Below are 20,963 nucleotides of genomic sequence, written 5' to 3'. Positions count from 1 at the left end.
CCAAAGTGTGGCAGAGACACAACAAAAAAAGAGAATTTTAGACCAATATCCCTGATGAACATTGATGCAAAAATCCTCAATAAAATACTGGCAAACCGAATCCAGCAGCACATCAAAAAGCTTATCCACCATGATCAAGTGGGCTTCATCCCTAGGATGCAAGGCTGGTTCAACATATGAAAATCAATAAACATAATCCAGCATATAAACAGAACCAACGACGAAAACCATATGATTATCTCAATAGATGCAGAAAGGCCTTTGACAAAATTCAACAACCCTTCATGCTAAAAACTCTCAATAAATTAGGTATTCATAGGATGTATCTCAAAATAATAAGAGCTATCTATGACAAACCCACAGCCAATATTATACTGAATGGACAAAAACTGGAAGCATTCCCTGTGAAAACTGGCACAAGACAGGGATCCCCTCTCTCACCACTCCTAATCAACATAGTGTTGGAAGTTCTGGCCAGGGTAATCAGGCAGGAGAAGGAAATAAAGGGTATTCAATTAGGAAAAGAGGAAGTCAAATTATCCCTGTTTGCAGATGACATGATTGTATATCTAGAAAACCCCATCGTCTCAGCCCAAAATCTCCTTAAGCTGATAGGCAACTTCAGCAAAGTCTCAGGACGCAAAATCAATGTGCAAAAATCACAAGCATTCTTATACACCAATAACAGACAGAGAGTCAAATCATGAGTGAACTCCCATTCACAATTGCTTCAAAGAGAATAAAATACCTAGGAATCCAACTTACACGGGAGATGAAGGACCTCTTCAAGGAAAACTACAAACCACTGCTCAACGAAATAAAAGAGGATACAAACAAATGGAAGAACATTCCATGCTCATGGGTAGGAAGAATCAATATTGTGAAAATGGCCATACTGCCCAAGGTAATTTATAGATTCAATGTCATCCCCATCAAGCTACCAATGACTTTCTTCACAGAATTGGAGAAAACTACTTTAAAGTTCATATGGAACCAAAGAAGAGCCCGCATTGCCAAGTCAATCCTAAGCCAAAAGAACAAAGCTGGAGGCATCACGCTACCTGACTTCAAACTATACTCCAAGGCTACGGTAACCAAAACAGCATGGTACTGGTACCAAAACGGAGATATAGACTAACGGAACAGAACAGAGCCCTCAGAAATAATGCTGCATATCTACAACCATATGATCTTTGACAAACCTGACAAAAACAAGCAATGGGGAAACGATTCCCTATTTAATAAATGGTGCTGGGAAAACTGGCTAGCCATATGTAAAAGCTGAAACTGGATCCCTTCCTTACACTGTATACAAAAATTAATTCAAGATGGATTAAAGACTTAAATGTTAGACATAAAACCATGAAAACCCTAGAAGAAAACCTAGGCAATACCATTCAGGACATAAGCATGGGCAAGGACTTCATGTCTAAAACACCAAAAGCAATGGCAACAAAAGCCAAAATTGACAAATGGGATCTAATTAAACTAAAGAGCTTCTGCACAGCAAAAGAAACTACCATCAGAGTGAACAGGCAACCTACAGAATGGGAGAAAATTTTTGCAATCTACTCATCTGACAAAGGGCTAATATCCAGAATCTACAATGAACTCAAACAAATTTACAAGAAAAAACCAAACAACCCCATCAAAAAGTGGGCAAAGGATATGAACAGACACTTCAGCCAAAAGACACATGAAAAAATGCTCATCATCACTGGCCATCAGAGAAATGCAAATCAAAACCACAGTGAGATACCATCTCACACCAGTTAGAATGACGATCATTAAAAGTCAGGAAACAATAGGTGCTGGAGAGGATGTGGAGAAATAGGAACACTTTTACACTGTTAGTGGGAATATAAACTAGTTCAACCGTTGTGGAAGTCAGTGGGTGCAGCACACCAACATGGCACGTGTATACATATGTAACTAACCTGCATGTTGTGCACATGTACCCTAAAACTTAAAGTATAATAAAAAAAAAGAATGGCCATAATTTAAAAATTAAAAAATAATAGATGTTAGCATGGATGTGGTGAAAAGGGAATAGTTTTACACTGTTGGTGGGAATGTAAAGTAATACAATCAGTATGAAAAACAGTATGGAGATTAAACTAAAAGAAGAACTACCATTTGATCCAGCAATCCCACTACTGGGTATCTACCCAGAGGAAAAAAAAGTCATTGTATGAAAAAGGCACTTACACACGTATGTTTATAGCAGCACAATTTGCAATGTAAAAATATGGAATGGGCATAAATGCCCACCAGCCAATGAAGAAATAAAGAAAATGTGATGTAAAAAAAAAAAGAATGTTTTTATATATGTCTATGTCTTTTGGTGCAATGTGCACACTTAACAGTTGGATATATGCCTATAAATGGAATTGCTGGGTCATACATAATAGATAATGCCAATTACTTTCCAAAGTGGTTGTACCAACTTATACTCCCATGAAGAATATATAAAAGTTTCTGTCATTCCACATTTTTGCTCTTAGTTGATACTATCAGTCTTTTTCATTTTAGCCATTCTGGTGTGTAGTGATCTTACTGTGATGCTACTTACATTTAACAGATGACTAACTGAATATGGATTAGGACAGTATGGATTATAGGAAGACTATATTTAAAATATAGGCTATTAACAGGAAATTTGAGATAGAGTAAGTCTGACAGATCACAAGATAATTGCCATTGTGAAAAGACAGTTTATTATTCACAAAAGGAGGGAATGTCCACCACCACAGAGGGCTAGATGAGGAAGGAGTAGGATCAGTCAGGAGGCAGAGGGAGAGGGAGGACTGTGAGCAAGAAGTTTAATTGTGGTTTCTATGAGAAGGAGTTGGAAAGGCAAGCCATAAGGTTTAAGATTGGCTAGTTTGAATGATTTCAGGAAGCTCTAGGACATAAGGGCTGACCCTAGTTTTCTGGTACCTATCTCTGGGGTGACTAGCACAGGTAAATAGTGGTATGGAGAGTGAGAGCTTGATAAAGGAGGTGGGTGGGGTGTGGGCTCTGGATTGGTTGGTCTGCATTTGAAAAGTACATTCCAAGGCCAGTCGTTTACTATCTCTACAAATGGGCAAACACTGAGTGGGGCTGTGCTTCTAGGGTCAGCAAAACACCAGAATGTCAAAGCATCAGAATATAAAAGGTAAAAGATATGGTTAACATTAATATGTTCATTCAAAGTGTAGAAACAATCTGCCAAGAATGAGAATAAGCCCAGTGCTATTATAAGAAAAACTGAGTACTTTTTCTTTTTTATTGGCCACTGGGAAATCCTCTTTGGTAAAGTACTTGTTTAAGTCTCTTGACCATTTTTCTACTTGGTTGTCATTGCGTTATTATTAAATAAAGTTTTGTATATTCTGGATATCAGTTATTTTGTTATTCTTTTTTTAAAAAATATTTTAACTTTTATTTTAGGTTCAGGGGTACATGTTAGACAGGGAAACTCATGACTCAGGAGTTTGGTGTACAGATTATTTCCTCAGCCGGGTACTAAGCATAGTACCCAACAGCTTTGTTTTGTTTTTTTTCTGAACCTCTCCCTCCCACCCTCCCCACCAAGTAGGCCCCAGCGTCTGTTGTTCTCCTTTCTGTCCATGTGGTCTCATCATTTATCTCCCACTTATAACTGAGAACATGTGGTATTTGGTTTTCTGTTCCTGTGTTAGTTGCTAAGGATAATGGCCTCCAGCTCCATCCATGTTCCTGCAAAGGATGTCATCTCATTCTTTTTTATGACTGCAAAGTATTCCATGGTGTATATGTACCACATTTTCTTTATCCATACTACTACTTATGGGCATTTAGGTTGATTCATTGTCTTTGCTACTCTGAATAGTGTTCAACATACACATGCATGTGTCTTTATAATACAACAATTTATATTTCTTCGGGTATGAAATGAGATTGCTAGGTTAAACAGTAGTTCTATTTTCAGTTCTTTGAGGAACTGCCACACTACTTTCCACAATGGTTGAACTAATTTACACTCCCACCAGCAGTATATAAGTGTTCTCTTTTCTCCACAACCTCGCCAGCATCTGTCATTTTTTTACCTTTTAGTGATAGCCATTCTGACTGGTGGGAGATTGTATCTCATTGTGGATTTGATATGCACTTCTGTAATGATGATATTGAGCATTTTGTCATATGCTTGTTGGCCGCATGTATGTCTTCTTTTGAAAAGTGTCTGTTCATGCCCTTTACCCATTTTTTAATGGGCTTGTTTTTTGTTTGTACACTTAAGTTCCTTGTAGATTCTGGATAATATCTCCCATTCTGTGGCTTCTATTGAACTATTTTTTTAATAATATAATATGAAACCTATTCTTTAAAAATTTTAAGTGTACAGTATTGTCAACTATATTCACACTGTTGTACAATGGATCTCAAGAACATTTTCATCTTATATAACTAAACTTTTTTAAGGCTGAAGGATATTCCATTCCATTTATACACCACATTTTCTTTATCCATTTATCTGCTTATGGACATTTAGTTTGTATCCACCTTTTGGTCACTGTGAGCGACTGCAATGAACACGAGAATATAGATATCTCTTCCAGATCTTCTTTTTAATTCTTTTGGATAAATACCTTTGAAGTAGGATTGCTGGATTACAAGGCAGTTCCACTTTTAATTTGGGGGAAACCTCTATAACATTTTCCACAGCAGCTACACCACTTTACATTCCCACCAAGAGTGCACAAGGATGCCAATTTCTCCACATCCTCACCAACACTTACTTTCTGCCTTTAAAAAAAATTATAGCCATCCTAACAGGTATGAGGGTACAGCTCATTGTTTTTGATTTACATTTCCCTGATAATTAGTGATGTTGAGTATCTTTTCATATAACCTTGCCATCTGCATATCTTCTTTAGAAAAATGTCTAATCAAGCCCTTTGCCATTTTTAATCAGGTTTTTTTTTGCTATTACATTGTATGAATTTCTTATATATTTTTGATATTAATCCCCTATCAGATGCATGGTTTGCAAATATTTTCTTCCATTCTATAGGTTTCCTTTTCACTCTGTTGTTTCTTTTGCTGTGAAGATACTTTTTAGTTTGATATAGTCCCACTTGTTTATTTTTGCTTTTATTCCTGTGCTTTTGGTGTCATATCCAAGAAATCATCACCAAGACCAATGTTATGAAGCTCTTCCCCTACATTTTCTTCTAGAGTTTTATAGTTTAATTCCTTATATTTTTTCATATGCTTCATTTAATCTATTTTGAGTCAATTTTTGTGTATGGTGTAAGATAAAGGTCCAATTTCATTCTTTCGCATGTGAATATCCAGTTTTCTCAAGACTACTTGTTGAAAGAGACTATCCTTTACCTATTATGTAGTTCTGGCATCTTTGTTGAAGATAATTTTACCACAGTGTGTAGGCTTATTTCTGGGCTCTCCATTCTGTTCCATTGGTCTGTGTGTCTGTCTTTATGCCAGTACTAGTTGAATATCCCTTATTTGAAATGCTTGAGACCAGAGCATTTCCAATTTCTGACCTTTTTTTTGATTTTAGAATATCTGTATATACATAAAGATACATCTTGAGGATGGGACCCAAGCCTAAACACAAAATTTATTTATGTTTCATATGTACCTAATACATATAGCCTAAAATTACGTTTGGGCTATGTGTGTTAGGTGCATATGAAACATAAATAACTTTCCTGGGCCCTTTATTCTAATTTTATTGGTTTATATGTCTATCTTTATGCCAGTACCATACTGTTTTGATTAACGTAGCTTGGTAGTAATTTTTGAAATCAGAATGTAGGAGTCTTCCTGCTTTTTTTTCTTTTCAAGGTCCCTTGACATGCCATATGAGTTTTAGGATAGTTATTTTCTGTTTTTGTTTTTGTTTTTTTGATAATAGCCATCCTAGTGGCTGTGATGTAAATCATTTTAAATCCAGTTATCTCTTTTTTTAATGCATTATTTTCCTGTTTAATTCTATCAGTTACTGAGGGATGTATATTAAAATCTACTTTTAGATTTGCCCCTTGGTTTCATCAATTTTTACTTCATTTCTTATGAGGCTGTTTCTTTAGATGCATACAAACAGAATTTTTTTTTTTTTTTTCAGACAAAGTCTTGCTCTGTCACCCAGGCTGGAGTGCCGTGGTGCAATCTCGACTCACTGCAAGCTCCGCCTCCTGGGTTGATGCCATTCTCTTGCCTCAGCCTCCCAAGTAGCTGGAACTACAGGCACCCGCCACCATGCCTGGCTATTTTTTTTTTTTTTTTTTTTTTTTTGTATTTTTAGTAGAGACGGGGTTTCACCGAGTTAGCCAGGATGGTCTCGATCTTCTGATCTCGTGATCCACCTGCCTTTGCCTCCCAAAGTGCTGGAATTACAGGCGTGAGCCACCGCGCCCGGCCAGAATTGTTTTGTCTTCTGGAGGAAGTAATACTTTTCTTCCTGAAAGTCTGCTTTGTTTCATCTTACTATAATTATACCAAGCTACATTAATGTATACATTATTAATATTTTCTGTTCCTTCACTCTTTCCCATGCATCTCTTATAATCAGTACACAATGATTTTTCTTAATCCAAAGTGACATCTTTGTTTCGAGTAGTCTACTTATATTTAATGTAATTATTGATATATTTGGTTTTAAACATATCATCCTGTTAGCAAAACAAATAAATTTCAATGATTTCTAATTTTTCCTAAAATTTCTTATTAAAACATGAGAAGTGACCAAATGAAATTATGAATTATAATCAATATTTAAGGTTTCAAAAGTTTAGCCAAGAGAAGATGGGACGATCATAATCTACAATGTGTAGGGGGAAAAAAAGACACTATCTTTAATTACCTCTTACATAAGGGAATGTTTCATGAACGTATCTCATAAATATGCCTAATGCTACATTTTATAGTTGATGATTTCCTGATTGCGCTATAGTTTTTTCTCTCCTAAAAAGCAATGAATAACTTGTTCTACAGTTTTTTGTAAGGATGAAAATCATTTACAAACTTTCAAACTTTTTTTGTTGCTAATTTATATTTACAAAGTCAGGATTACGAAGTATTCTGATAATTCATTTAATGCCAAGATACATATTTTTCTCTAGGCCTTTTTCTCTTTTCTTCAACTCAAGCTATTATTTTTATCCATGAAATCAAAGACACTCTCATGCCTATTTTTGTCAAGTAAGTTAGCTCTACTAGAAAATCCTAGTTGTCTTCTGCTTCGTTGCATAGAACAAATTTTAATTGTCTTAGACTCTTTATACTGTGTTTTGTACCTTCATAAGAAAATATTGACCAAAATAGAAAAATGTTCAAACTTAATGAATACAATACTTATTGTCAAAAAACAGTTATATTTTTCACAAATGTAAATGCTACAAATAATTTTAAATCCTATTTCTGTTACTAATAAATCCTGAATTTAAAATACACAACAATTTGGGTGGCAGATCTGACCATTTCCACTTTCATCCAATACAGTATTAAGAATCAAACTTAAAAATACAAGTAAAGGATAATCTGGCTTCTAAAACTCAATTACTTAATTTTGAGCCATCACCTCAGTTACTAGATTCAACATATCAATGACTTTCTCAATGTACAGTTAAGTATTTCTGGGAAGTAATAGTTTTCAGTCTTTTCTCTGATCTTTAAACTTGTTATCTAGCACAGCTATTTGTACACATTATCTCACTTCAGACAATAAATAAATTAAATTGTTAGGAAAACAAAACAATTTTCAAACAGAAAATTTGAATTATTTCAGAAAAAGGATTGTTGGGGGGGGTAAAATGAGATATAAATTCCTCCTCCAACTTCTGACCATAATATTCAGATAGCAATCTAATCTACTACGAAGATTTCAGAGGATTCTTAGTTTTGGATGGTCTATGGAGAAAAACCTTTTTATTTCAAGTACAAAGGGAATGTGTCGCTTTGAATTCTACTACACAACACTTGATGTTGAAAAAGTGATGATGCTTTATTGGTACATATTCCAAATAAATTTAAGACTCAATGTATTCTAGTAAAATTCCTTATCCAGACATATAAGATTCCCTTGAAAATATGTTTTCATCTAGGACAAACATGTGAGAACCAGATTCATAATTTTCAAACTGATGTTAGAGAATTTTCCTGGGGTTCCCCAATTCTCTGAGAATTTGACAATTATTTTTATAATATCAATGATAATCCAAGACATTAAATACTGTAAAAGAATAATCAGAGTCACTTGAATGAAAATCTTTTAAGTGTGTAAAGATATCCAATTTCAGTGCCTACGTTGGCAGTATTTATAAGAGCTGGTGGAGAAAGAGGCTCGGCTATATTAAGAAGGTCCTTTTAAAAAATGTTAAGGAGTCATTTCAGGAATTTAAGAGAAGTATAATGATAACATTTACAGTTTTTAAAGATCACTTTGAAATGAATATAAAGAATGTGTTGGAAGAAAAAAATTTTTAAACGAAAACTATTGCAATAGTTCAGACAGCTAAGGAGTAAAACCCATAAAACTAGGTGAACAGATTTGACTGTGGGATGAGGGAAGTGATTACTAAAGCCAAAAGGGAATGATATAGAATGACTACCAAGAGTAAATAATTAATAAGGTAATTTCAGTGAATAAATAACACATTTTTGAGGGAGACTTAAGAATCACTTGAGTACTGATTCATAGGCAATTCAAAGTCTTTGTCTTCACTCTAGGAAACCATATCTAATTTTGTAATTACTACAAAGTATATTGTCAGGGTTCTGTAGAGAAACAGAACCAATAGGATGCACAGATATATATGTATGGAGATATATATATATATATATATATAAAATATACCAACTATATATTATATGTATATATAATTGGCCTATGCAATTATGGAGGTAAACTCCCATGATCTGTCATATATAAGCTAGAGAACGAGGAGAGTCAGTGGTATAATTCAGTATAAGTCCAAAGGCTTGCAAAACAGAAGAGCCAATGCTATAAATTCTAGTCCACAGGCAGAAAACTTACGTCCCAGATCAAATATTCAAGCAGAGAGAGCACGAATTCTCCCTTTGTCTACCTTTGGTTCTAGTCAGGCCCTCAGTGGATTGGATGATGCTGCCCACTCACAATGTGGAGAGCAATCTGCTTTACTCCATCTACTATTCAAATGCTAATCTTATCTAAAGACACTCAAAGACATCCCAAAAATAATGTTTAACCAAATACATGGGCAGCCCACGGCACACATTCAAGTTGACACATAAAATTAACCATCACACCAAATCAAAAATTTCACTTCTGTATTTTGTGAGTTGTGAGTTTGGACGTTTTCCTTCTCCTTTGCTACACAACGTATTTGAAAAATGTAGCTTAACTTCCTTCTATAGATCTTAATGAACTTTAATGTCATCCTTTCATTATTATTTATTCGTAGCTTTATAAAATGGCTCTCCTCTGAATAATTGCTTTGTCTTCCTGGTTTTTATAATGTAAATGAAAGCCTCAAAACAGAATTATTCTTCTCTTCCCATTTTAAGTAGGAAAAAATGGATTTTTTTTTCTTTATAGGCACATATAGAAACTATTGGCAAAAAATAAATGAAAGGGAATTTATTTTTTTCTTTTTTTTCAATTATACTTTAAGTTCTAGGGTACATGTGCACAACGTGCAGGTTTGTTACATATGTATACATATGCCATGTTGGTGTGCTGCACCCATTAACTCGTCATTTATATTAGGTATATCTCCTAATGCTATCCTTCCCCCCTTCTCCCACCCCACGACAGGCCCTGGTGTGTAGTGTTCCCTACCCTGTGTCCAAGTGTTCTCATTGTTCAATTCCCACCTATGAGTGAGAACATGCGGTGTTTGGTTTACTGTCCTTGCGAGAGTTTGCTGAGAATGATGGTTTCCAGCTTCATCCATGTCCCTACAAAGGACATGAACTCATCATTTTTTATGTCTGCATAGTATTCCATGTTGTATATGTAACACATTTTCTTCATCCAGTTTATCACTGATGGACATTTGGGTTAGTTCCAAGTCTTTGCTATCGTGAATAGTGCCGCAACAAACATATGTGTGCATGTGTCTTTAGAGTAGCATGATTTATAATCCTTTCGGTATATACCCAGTAATGGGATGGCTGGATCAAATAGTATTTCTACTTCTAGATCCTTGAGGAATTGCCACACTGTCTTCCACAGCAGTTGAACTAGTTTACAGTCCCACCAACAGTGTAAAAGTGTTCCTATTGCTCCACATCCTCTCCAGCACCTGCTGTTTCCTGACTTTATTTAATGACTGCCATTCTAACTGGTGTGAGATGGTGTCTCATTGTGGTTGTGATTTGCATTTCTCTGATGGCCAGTGATGATGAGCATTTTTCCATGTGTCCTTTGGCTGCATAAACGTCTTCTTTTGAGAAGTGTCTGTTCATATCCTTTGCCCACTTTTTGATGAGGTTGTTTGATTTTTTCTTGTAAATTTGTTTAAGTTCTTCGTCGATTCTGGATATTAGCCCTTTGTCAGATGAGTAGATTGCAAAAATTTTCTCCCATTCTGTAGGTTTCTCCCATTCACTGTGATGGTAGTTTCTTTTGCTGTGCAGAAGCTCTTTAGTTTAATTAGATTCCATTTGTCAATTCTGGCTTTTGTTGCCATTGCTTTTGGTGTTTTAGACATGAAGTCCTTGCCCATGCCTATGTCCTGAATGGTATTGCCTAGGTTTTCTTCTAGGGTTTTTATGGTTTTAGGACTGACATTTAAACCTTTAATCCATCTTGAATTAATTTTTGTACAAGGTGTAAGGAAGGGATCCAGTTTCAGCTTTTACATATGGCTAGCCACTTTTCCCAGCACCATTTATTAAATAGGGAATCCTTTCCTCATTGCTTGTTTCTGTCAGGTTTGTCAAAGATCAGATGGTTGTAGATGTGTGGTATTATTTCTGAAGGCTCTGTTCTGTTCCATTGGTCTACATCTCTGTTTTGGTACCAGTACCATGCTATTTTGGTTACTGTAGCCTTGCAGTATAGTTTGAAGTCAGGTAGTGTGATGCCTCCAGCTTTGTTCTTTTGGCTTAGGATGGACTTGGCAATGCGGGCTCTTTCTTGGTTCCATATGAACTTTAAAGTAGTTTTTTCCAATTCTGTGAAGAAAGTCATTAGTAGCTTGATGGGGATGACATTGAATCTATAAATTACCTTGGGCAGTATGGCCATTTTCACAATATTGATTCTTCCTATCCATGAGCATGGAATGTTCCTCCATTTATTTGCGTCCTCTTTTATTTTGTTGAGCAGTGGTTTGTAATTCTCCTTGAAGAGGTCCTTCACATTCCTTGTAAGTTGGATTCCTAGGTATTTTATTCTCTTTGAAGCAATTGTGAATGGGAGTTCACTCATGATTTGACTGTTTGTCTGTTATTGGTGTATAAGAATGCTTGTGATTTTTGCACATTGATTTTGCGTCCTGAGACTTTGCTGAAGTTGCCTATCAGCTTAAGGAGATTTTGGGCTGAGACGATAGGGTTTTCTAGATATACAATCATGTCATCTGCAAACAGGGATAATTTGACTTCCTCTTTTCCTAATTGAATACCCTTTATTTCCTTCTCCTGCCTGATTACCCTGGCCAGAACTTCCAACACTATGTTGATTAGGAGTGGTGAGAGAGGGGATCCCTGTCTTGTGCCAGTTTTCACAGGGAATGCTTCCAGTTTTTGTCCATTCAGTATAATATTGGCTGTGGGTTTGTCATAGATAGCTCTTATTATTTTGAGATACATCCTATGAATACCTAATTTATTGAGAGTTTTTAGCATGAAGGGTTGTTGAATTTTGTCAAAGGCCTTTCTGCATCTATTGAGATAATCATATGGTTTTCGTCGTTGGTTCTGTTTATATGCTGGATTATGTTTATTGATTTTCATATGTTGAACCAGCCTTGCATCCTAGGGATGAAGCCCACTTGATCATGGTGGATAAGCTTTTTGATGTGCTGCTGGATTCGGTTTGCCAGTATTTTATTGAGGATTTTTGCATCAATGTTCATCAGGGATATTGGTCTAAAATTCTCTTTTTTTGTTGTGTCTCTGCCACACTTTGGTATCAGGATGATGCTGGCCTCATAAAATGAGTTAGGGAGGATTCCCTCTTTTTCTATTGATTGGAATAGTTTCAGAAGGAATGGTACCAGCTCCTCTTTGTACCTCTGGTAGAATTTGGCTGTGAATCCGTCTGGTCCTAGACTTTTTGTTCATTGGTAGGCTCTTTATTGCCTCAATTTCAGAGCCTGTTATTGGTCTATTCAGGGATTCAACTTCTTCCTGGTTTAGTCTTGGGAGGGTGTATGTGTCCAGGAATTTATCCATTTCTTCTAGATTTTCTAGTTTATTTGCCTAAAGGTGTTTATAATATTCTCTGATGATAGTTTGTATCTCTGTGGGATCGGTGGTGATATCCCCATGAAAGGGAATTTCTTATCATGTTGTTAAATTTCACACAGCTCTTTGTCAATGTGACTGGCTTCTCTAATACGTTTTACCTCCTTGTACTTTAAAAAAGCCATTTTGCCTATTTCATCCCAGTGCCTAAAACAGCGTCTGGCACATGATAGGTGCTCAATAATTTGTCAAATATTGAATAAATGAACAAATTCATATCTCAATTAGCAAAAGAGTATAACTGCAAAGCCTCAGACGAGCATTTCTCTTACTTCATTTAATAAGAAGTATAGGATTCCCTCCACTGAGTCTTCTCTTACAATCTACCAACCTCCTCTGTTGCTGTTCTCCTGTTGGTTGGTCTCACATTTCTTCTCCCTATGATTGTTCATGTCAAAGGCTTTCTAGGACCATTAATTTTTCTTCACCATGTTTCTGCCAGAAAAATCACTGCATTTTATCATTGTGCAGACAATTATGGCACTCATGTTTTATTTTGGAAAAAGAAAAAAAAACCTCTGTCAGCAAACAATTCCTATTGAATGCAAACATTTTTAAGTCAAAAAGTTCTTAGCGAAGCACAGATTGTATGTCTAGGACACAACTTTCTGCTGGAGTCAAAGTCATAATTTCTTTTATAAATGAAATGTAAATGCCATGGTAATTTAAAATCTACCATCATGCATCTTTTTGAAAATTACATGAACAAGCTCTCCTTTAGCAGCTGGGAACTGGATATCATGCCTCTTTTCCTTGAATTCATATTTCCATCTCACTTCCTCCACATTAGCTTATCCCAACATAATATATTTTAGTGTTTCAAAATATTTTAAATTGATCACCCTATCATACTTCCCTACAATAAAAAAAGTAAATTTTAAAATTTCCAAGAACATAAATTCTAATACTGTGACCTCATTAAATGACTAGAACACTTTTGATGAGTATTAAACATATAACAAATTATAATTATCATAAAATATATAAAGGATTTTTTTTTTTTTGAGACGGAGTCTTGGTCTGTCACCCAGGCCGGAGTGCAGTGGTGCAATCTCAGTTCACTGTGGCCTCTGCCTCCTGAGTTCAAGCAATTCTCGTGCCTGAGCCTCCCCAGGTGGCTGGGACTACAGGAGTGAGCCACCATGTCTGGATAATTTTTGTATTTTAGTAGAGATGGAGTTTTGCCATGTTGTCCAGGCTGGTCTTTAACTCCTGACCTTAGGTGATTGGCCCATCTCAGCCTCCCAAAGTGCTGGGATCACAGGCATGAGCCACTGTGCCTGGCCTATAAAATATAAAAAGCTTTTATTGGAAATGCATGTCATAAAAAAAATGGACAGGACCTTCTGCCCCCTCCCTCATTAGGCCATATACCCAAAAATAAATATTACTTATTGCTAGAAAGAAACAGAATTCAGGTTAATTCTATTTTTATATGTTTTATTCTTCCATTCCAAACATTTGCAAGTGTAACGATTTCTGGTTATAGCAATAATCATTTGTGTGAACTCATAAGTTATATACCAAAAATCACACATGGGTATGCTTCAAAAATTATTTTTAATGATCAACTGATAAGTCAATTTGGTCCTTCTGCAATTATTTTCTAAAGCAACTGTAACTCACCAATTTTGCCAAAGAGTTAACTACTCATTCATCACAGTCATTTACTTTCTAAACACCACTATCAAGATTTAGGTCAGATAAGGTATCCCCATATTTGTCAGTGAGAGAGGGACAACTGCTAAAGAGGAAAGCAAAAAGATGTCTAGTTCAGTACACTCTGAGGAAGATCAATCTTAGGAATGAATACATGCAAGTTGACAACCTGAGAATTAATACTCTTAAACTATCCTTAACTATATAACCCCCCCGGGAAAGCCTTTATGTTCCTCTCAAGGTTAAGGGTAAAGGATGTATGTTGCCCAGTTCAGAGACTGCCGGTTTAAGATGCACACAGGTTTGGATACACACAGTTTAACAGAAGTCATGCACTGCAAGGCATACATAATTCTCTCTCGTGTGTGTGTGTGTGTGTGTGTGTGTGTGTGTGTGTGTGTGCATACATCTGAGATAGAGGGAAAGGAGGGGTAAGGAGACAAAGGAGACGGGGGAAGGAGAAAGTACAGGGAAAACAGGGAAGACAACTGTGTATGCCCAAATACCAGGTTTTATTTTGGGTAGTATTCTTGAAATCATTTTTATCCTTGCCACTAAAACTATTCTCATACCCTAAAGATAGTAACCTGAACATGTGATATGTCAGGAAAACAGAGGAAGAAGTTTCTGAAACAACACCGATGGAATGACACTGAAGCTGATATGAACATGAAAAGACAGACACTGCCATTTCAATTTAGTGGTATTGACATATTAAGTCTTCTTCCTCTGACAATCAAGAGCCACATCTATCTCGGGTGCACCAAAGCACAGTCCTCAGAATATACAACAAAGAAACAAAAAATATGACCCCTGAGGTAATATGACATTAATCAAATTAAATATACAATTTAAATCACTAATCAGAAATTCACTTAAAAAATTTTCTTAAAAATTGCACTTACTGTTTCTTTTTACTGTAAATATTCTTCACAGCTCAGATATAGACAAAGTCCTCATTTAAGAAAAAAAAAGGTTTTTCATTATTTTTACATGTTGCCTAAGATTTGAAGCTCTAAAAATGCACCTTATTACCTAAAAATAAGTAAAAAGGCTAAGCTACAGTCAGAAGTTGTACTAGGGCCCATATTCTTTGTTAAGATATTGCTTTGAAGTCCAAGCTAATTCAGTGAAAAAGGGAACCCAGTCTCGGCCAGTATCATGTCCTTCAGGAGCCCTTTCCCTGATGGGAGAACATCTAGATCTTGGAATTGGTGTAGGGGGTGGAAAAAAGTGGAGAAGGAGCTTTTGTAATATATATATGTATATATATATATTTTTTATATAATGAGCGACAACATGTAGACAGGACAATTTTTAAAGTGCCTGGTGTCAAGAGTGTTCAATTCAGTCCAAAACAGCCATTCTAAAAAATATATATATATTTTTAAAGCAGTGACTTGTTTTGAAAATTTCAGATTAAATTTGTAGCTACAAAAAATGTAATGGTTTAAAAGAAAAGAAACTGTCCCAAACTTGGCCTTGGACACAGCTTTTTAGATGATGTAATTCACAACTCCCTCTTGGGAAAATATGAAAATTCCTGAAAAAAATCCCTAAGCAAAGTTCCAATAAATTTCAATGGAATCAAGATGCTCTGGAAAACCAACCACTCACTGAACTAGTTGGCTATCAGTTAAGATTATCATTCAGGACCCCTAAATTCTTTTCTTTCTTAGAGCTTAACAATTATCTAACCATTCTCTTTTCCTATAAAATGTCCTTATCAAGACTGTATCTTTTAATTAACTTATCAGAGGTCTTTCCCTGATAATAAACCTTTAATACATGATTATATATGAACTGTGTAACAAGTTTTCTCTAACAATTTATTTTATTTGAGAAAGTTAATTGAAGCAGATACAGGGTGGAAAGTGACCATTTGCAGCTAAATCCAATGACTATACGGATTATATTTTGTCATAATCTAGCAGGGGTTCTACAACCCAAAAAGAAAAACTAAGATGTTTTACTTGACTAAAATAATAAAATTTGTACATCCTGGTTAAGCAAATACATTTCTTAATAAACCCATTATATGTTAATAAACCCACTGTGTAGTGTGCACTGTGAAACAAAAATTGACTCTCTCACCAGATAAACTTCAAAATACTGATTTATGACATTTTATCTTTACTTACTCAGAAAGAAAAGATAAAAATGATGTCCCCTGCCTTTTCAACAATTCTTAAATTATTTTAAATTGTGAACGAAGATTCAAAAATATTTCTACACCTTCAAATTAAAAACCAGGTTACCACTTTATTTCTAATAACTTGTGATGCCTCAACCAATTTTGCTAGCATTCTTCAAAACTCTACTTGTAAAAACATACACCTAATGGTTGTTTTAAATTGAAAATTCTCAAAATGCATCATGGAAGCAATAAAAAAATTTAAGGACTGATACTTGCTCAAAATATTAAAAACACTGCTCTCTTCCATTCTCCAGCCCAGTAAATTGAAGCAAATCGTTTCCTTTCTCAACGATAACATTAACACAGATTTCTAAGTATTTTTAGAAATGTCATAAAACTTCAACTTGTGGTCTTTGTTCCTAACAGCTATAAATTTTCACTTAAATCTAAACCAAAAAAGACAATAAAAAAACCAACAACAATAAAAACGAATTTTCATATAAACCCTTGAGTGAAATCCATCCTATTGGGCTGACAGTTGGGCTGATAGTTAAGCGGACAGATGACAAAATACTACTTTAAGGGGGTGGTGAGTAATGTCCGTATTGCTAATCGGCGGTTAGTGACGTTAAATTTTCTATAATTATTGTTCCTTGTTTATTTGTTTATTTAACCAATAATACCTTAGAGTTACAGGGGTTCCACCTGGCTGCGACCTTCAATGACTAATTAATTCAACTACTTGTGACTCCACAGCTAGGGACGGTCTATCATCTAGAAATAACCAAGGTGGTGGCAACTCCAGGGAAGCCGGGCGCAACTCCAGTACTCTGGCATCTTCTCCCTGTCTCTCATTCCATAAATTGAGCAGTGTGCTAGAAGTCGTGGTGTCGTTTGTGAATAATTACAGACCCCTACGCAATTCGTCGAGCTTGTGCCTCAAGTGATCGCCTGAGGGCTTGCAAGTAGTTTAGAAAACAGAGGCTACAGAGGAACGGCTTCTAACAGACTTCCCAGTTCCCAGCCACGTCAGCTCGTAAGCCTGTAACAGCGCTACTGAGCCGAGCCAGCACGCACCACACGGCCCGGGGACCCCCCAAAAGGACACTGAGTGAAAAAGACGCACCAGAGGGCGCCCCTGAAGGGGGACCTCGGCCCAACAGACAAGACGGCTGGTAACGCTCTTACCTAACTCCACTCCGCCTCCGCCTCCTGGCGTCCCGCGGCCCCGCCCCGTCCCGCCGCGGAGGCTCACGGGACATGTAGTACGCCGCGCGCCACTCCTGCACTTCCCCACCCCCACGACCGAACCTGGCTTCGCTAACGCCCTCCCAGCTCCCTCGGGCCTGACTTCCGGTTTCCTCGCGCGTCCCTGGCGCCGAGCCCGCGGACAGCGGCAGCCCCTTTTCCGGCTGAGAGCTCATCCACACTTCCAATCACTTTCCGGAGTGCTTCCCCTCCCTCCGGCCCGTGCTGGTCCCGACGGCGGGCCTGGGTCTCGCGCGCGTATTGCTGGGTAACGGGCCTTCTCTCGCGTCGGCCCGGCCCCTCCTGCCTCGGCTCGTCCCTCCTTCCAGAACGTCCCGGGCTCCTGCCGAGTCAGAAGAAATGGGACTCCCTCCGCGACGTGCCCGGAGCAGCTCCCTTCGCTGTGGAAGCGGCGGTGTCTTCGAAGAAACCGGAAGCCCGTGGTGACCCCTGGCGACCCGGTTTGTTTTCGGTCCGTTTCCAAACACTAAGGAATCGAAACTCGGCGGCCTTGGGGGCGGCCCTACGTAGCCTGGCTTCTGGGTGAGTGACTCGCCAGGGACGGGTGGAGGATAGGGATGCGGGCAATGCCGCGGCCAACCTCCGTAGCTGTTGCCGGTCCAAAAAGACACGTCATTTTTTTCTCACTCCCTCCCGCGCCCCCTCCTTTGACTAGGGAGCGGCCCACTCCTGGGCATCCCTTTCCCCAGTCACCCCCACACCCAGCTGTCCACACCCTTTCCCCTGTCACCCTCACCCCCAGCTGTCCAGGCCCTTCTTGGTCATTCACTTCTCTAATTACTCCTTTTCTTTTCGTACTCTTACTGGGGCGCCTTCAGTTTTTTTTCATTCATTGAGACTGCTAAATGCTTCTTTCCGATACAAATTATCGGAAAGAAAAGAGGGACATTGGCTAGGACGGTACTCCCTGGGGCATCTGAGTGGTGAATATCGACCCCCTGCACTTGATCGAGGGCTAACAGGTATTCGTCGTTTCTCCAATGTCTAACCTGTATACGGTATTCATTCCAGCCTTCGGCTGTTTGTTGAGTAACTACTACTACGTGCAAGGTAGGCTGACACCCTCTACACAAAAGAAACCCCAATACTCGAAAGCGAGATAAAATACCCACGAAAACTCTAGTACAAATCAAACCATCAGTTGCTCCAAGAGGTGATGGAAATTTGCTAAGGTGATCAAAGACAGACGTACCAGAATTAAAATTGACCCTTGCGCCTTATGTGTAGAAGACATTTTGGTTTTTAGATTGGAATTTCAAATTGGATTGAGCAAGATCTCAAGGCAGAATTTCATTTCTCTAAAAACGCCATATCTCATTGCCCAATCTTGTGATCATTTCATCATCTGTAAATTGAGAACAGTGCATCCTTTACAGGATATTTCCAAATTTTAATGTGATATTGTTTGTAAGCCAGACATCTTACGCAAGTAGAAGGTTTTAATATTAAAGAGACAGCATAACATAATGGGAAATGACACTGGATTAGGTCAGAACACCAGTATCTGAATGCTGATTTTTCCATTTACTTGACAATGGGTAAGAGGCTAAACTTTTTCTTCATTTTCCTTATCTCTGAAATGGGTGTAATACATACTCTAAGGCACCAAAGCATAGTTTCTAAGAGTTATGCTGGCTCTGGAGTCAGCTGCCTGATTTTCATTTCTGGCTCCCCTACTTTCTAATGTTTTCATGTCTCAATTTCTCCACCTGTAATCTGAGGAGATTCTTTACAACCTCAGAGGTATTACATAGATTTACTGAATGCTTATGAAGAACAAATGAGATAGTTTCTCCAAAAGGTGAAGCACACTGCTTGGTATACCATAAACGCTTGGCTACTATTAATTACCAATGCAGAACCTTGTCATTATTATTAAGTAAAATGCTGAAGTTTTTTTTATAATCCATGAAGTAATAGAACCAATCTTTTTCTTTTTTATGGCACTTATATTCAGAGTGCAAGTATAGTTGCCTTATCACTGTTAGAAAATAATTTTCAATAACACCAGTAACATTGAATGTATAGTAGATGCTTAGTTGCATTAGAGGTATTACTGTATGAAAGGGATGAAAAGAAGTAGACTGCTCTTCATACCTATGCTAACTCTGGAAGAGTCTTGATCTGTGCAATACAAACTGATTTCTGGACTAACGCAGTTTGTTGGATAACTCAAGAGTCATAAAAATGGAACTGGAGTTTTTCTTCATATTGTATATCTAATGTTGAGTACATTTTTGGACATTTATTGAATTACAGGGCTTTTTATTGCTAATGTACACAGATTAAGAGATGATGTTTTGAAAAGAGGTACTTGATGACCCTTCTTTATAAACTAGTTAGGCTATTTTACAAATTGAGAAAGGGGAATAAGCATTGGTCTGTTCGTCTTCGTAAGACTTAATCCTTGCTCCATAGTATTTTGACTGATTGTACGAAATAGGTTCGGGAATATCCTAACTTTTCAGAGGTAGAAAGGTGGTGAAAATTCTAAATATGATTTACTTCAGGAGGCAATATGGAATAAAGAGCCTACCATATAGGCCTTGATTCAAACTTCAGTTTTGTCACATACTGCTGTGGTGAGGTGAATTTACCTCACCTCTTTGAGCCTCAATTTCCCCATTTATCATGGTGCTAATACCTTTCTTGCCAAGTTTGGTGTGGACTTGAGATAATGTGTGTACCATACCTTTTATGCAGTTCCTGGCATAAATGTGAATTCCCTTCTCTCTGTTTAGGTTGCCATTGTTCTGTATTTGTATTAAACTTTTGCCTTCACAGTTTAGTAAGGTGGCATCTTAGTGATGTAGTCTAACCCTATCATTCTGTATAGGTGGGAAAATTTTGATCTAGAGAGGTAAAGCGAACTAAACTATAATCAGGGTTGCAAATCCTAGACTAGAATCTGTGTTTCTGAATCCTGGGAAAGTGTTCTTTTTGACATAGTTATGCCTTGTCCATATTCTTAGGATAACCAGAATCCCTTTTGTATTGCCTCTTTGAATGTTGTATTAAGACCATAGACTTCTGACAGCTTACTTAGGTTCACATCTCACCTTTGCCACTGATTAGCTGTGTAGCTATAGGTAAGGTATTTAACTTTTCTAAGACTTTCTTCATAACAGTACTTAGCTAAGTGGTAGAAAAATGCATGTGAAAGCACTAGTGACTGGCATATGGTAAGTGATCAATAAATGGCAGATATAAAGATGATGAAATATGAAAATGGCAGATATAAAGATGATGAAATATGACAGGATAATCATATTTATTCCTAGAAAAAAGACCAGTCTGATATCAGCAGATATGTTTTCTAGTATCCCAAACTTTGACATACGTAGCATATGAACAACTGAGAGTTCTCTTGGTGTTGATTGCCATGATGAAGACTGAAATTTAAGATCTTCTAAAATAATTCTAATAAATAATGTTTGAATCTTTTTTTTCC

At 37.2% G+C, this 20,963-nt stretch overlaps 2 protein-coding genes across 13 annotated transcripts in view, besides 4 other annotated features; one reads left to right on the top strand and one right to left on the bottom strand.

The window, feature by feature from the left end:
* ZCWPW2 (zinc finger CW-type and PWWP domain containing 2) overlaps positions 1-17,914 on the bottom strand; it is a 177,638-nt gene extending 159,724 nt beyond the window's left edge. For all 4 annotated transcript variants that reach the window (NR_136708.2, NM_001040432.4, NM_001324169.2 and 1 more), the window contains exon 1: positions 17,432-17,914. The gene's annotated coding sequence lies outside the window, so the exon portion shown is untranslated. The remainder of the gene's footprint in view (positions 1-17,431) is intronic.
* Positions 16,717-17,697: an enhancer, noted in NCBI's record as "NANOG-H3K27ac-H3K4me1 hESC enhancer chr3:28390429-28391409 (GRCh37/hg19 assembly coordinates)". NCBI's record gives its function as "activates a minimal SCP1, AML or CMV promoter by ChIP-STARR-seq in naive H9 embryonic stem cells {active_cell/tissue: H9 hESC(naive)}" and the evidence as "EXISTENCE:reporter gene assay evidence [ECO:0000049][PMID:30033119]".
* Positions 17,205-17,284: an enhancer, noted in NCBI's record as "active region_19622". NCBI's record gives its function as "activates an Ori minimal core promoter by ATAC-STARR-seq in GM12878 lymphoblastoid cells {active_cell/tissue: GM12878}" and the evidence as "EXISTENCE:reporter gene assay evidence [ECO:0000049][PMID:35858748]".
* Positions 17,323-17,617: an enhancer, noted in NCBI's record as "tiled region #24; K562 Activating DNase unmatched - State 1:Tss". NCBI's record gives its function as "activates a minimal TATA promoter and a strong SV40 promoter by Sharpr-MPRA in K562 cells {active_cell/tissue: K562}" and the evidence as "EXISTENCE:reporter gene assay evidence [ECO:0000049][PMID:27701403]".
* The window catches only part of AZI2 (5-azacytidine induced 2), a 27,778-nt gene continuing 24,625 nt past the window's right edge, over positions 17,811-20,963 (top strand). For 5 of the 9 annotated variants that reach the window (NM_022461.5, NM_001271650.2, XM_005265392.4 and 2 more), the window contains exon 1: positions 17,811-18,034. Coding sequence is in view for 3 of the 9 variants with exons in the window: in XM_011534009.3 (XP_011532311.1) it covers positions 19,047-19,050 (4 nt within the window). In the remaining 6 variants the exon portion in view is untranslated. Of the gene's footprint in view, positions 19,051-20,963 lie in introns of all 9 variants that reach the window. The other 4 variants (XM_011534009.3, XM_011534011.3, XM_011534010.3 and 1 more) reach the window with 2 other exon arrangements.
* Positions 17,885-17,944: an enhancer, noted in NCBI's record as "active region_19621". NCBI's record gives its function as "activates an Ori minimal core promoter by ATAC-STARR-seq in GM12878 lymphoblastoid cells {active_cell/tissue: GM12878}" and the evidence as "EXISTENCE:reporter gene assay evidence [ECO:0000049][PMID:35858748]".

The sequence above is a fragment of the Homo sapiens genome, chromosome 3 (genome assembly GCF_000001405.40).
Source record: "Homo sapiens chromosome 3, GRCh38.p14 Primary Assembly".
NCBI classification, from domain to species: Eukaryota; Metazoa; Chordata; class Mammalia; order Primates; family Hominidae; genus Homo; species Homo sapiens.
The sequence above is the reverse complement of the archived record's forward strand: the minus strand, read 5'-3'. Positions and strand labels throughout refer to the sequence as shown.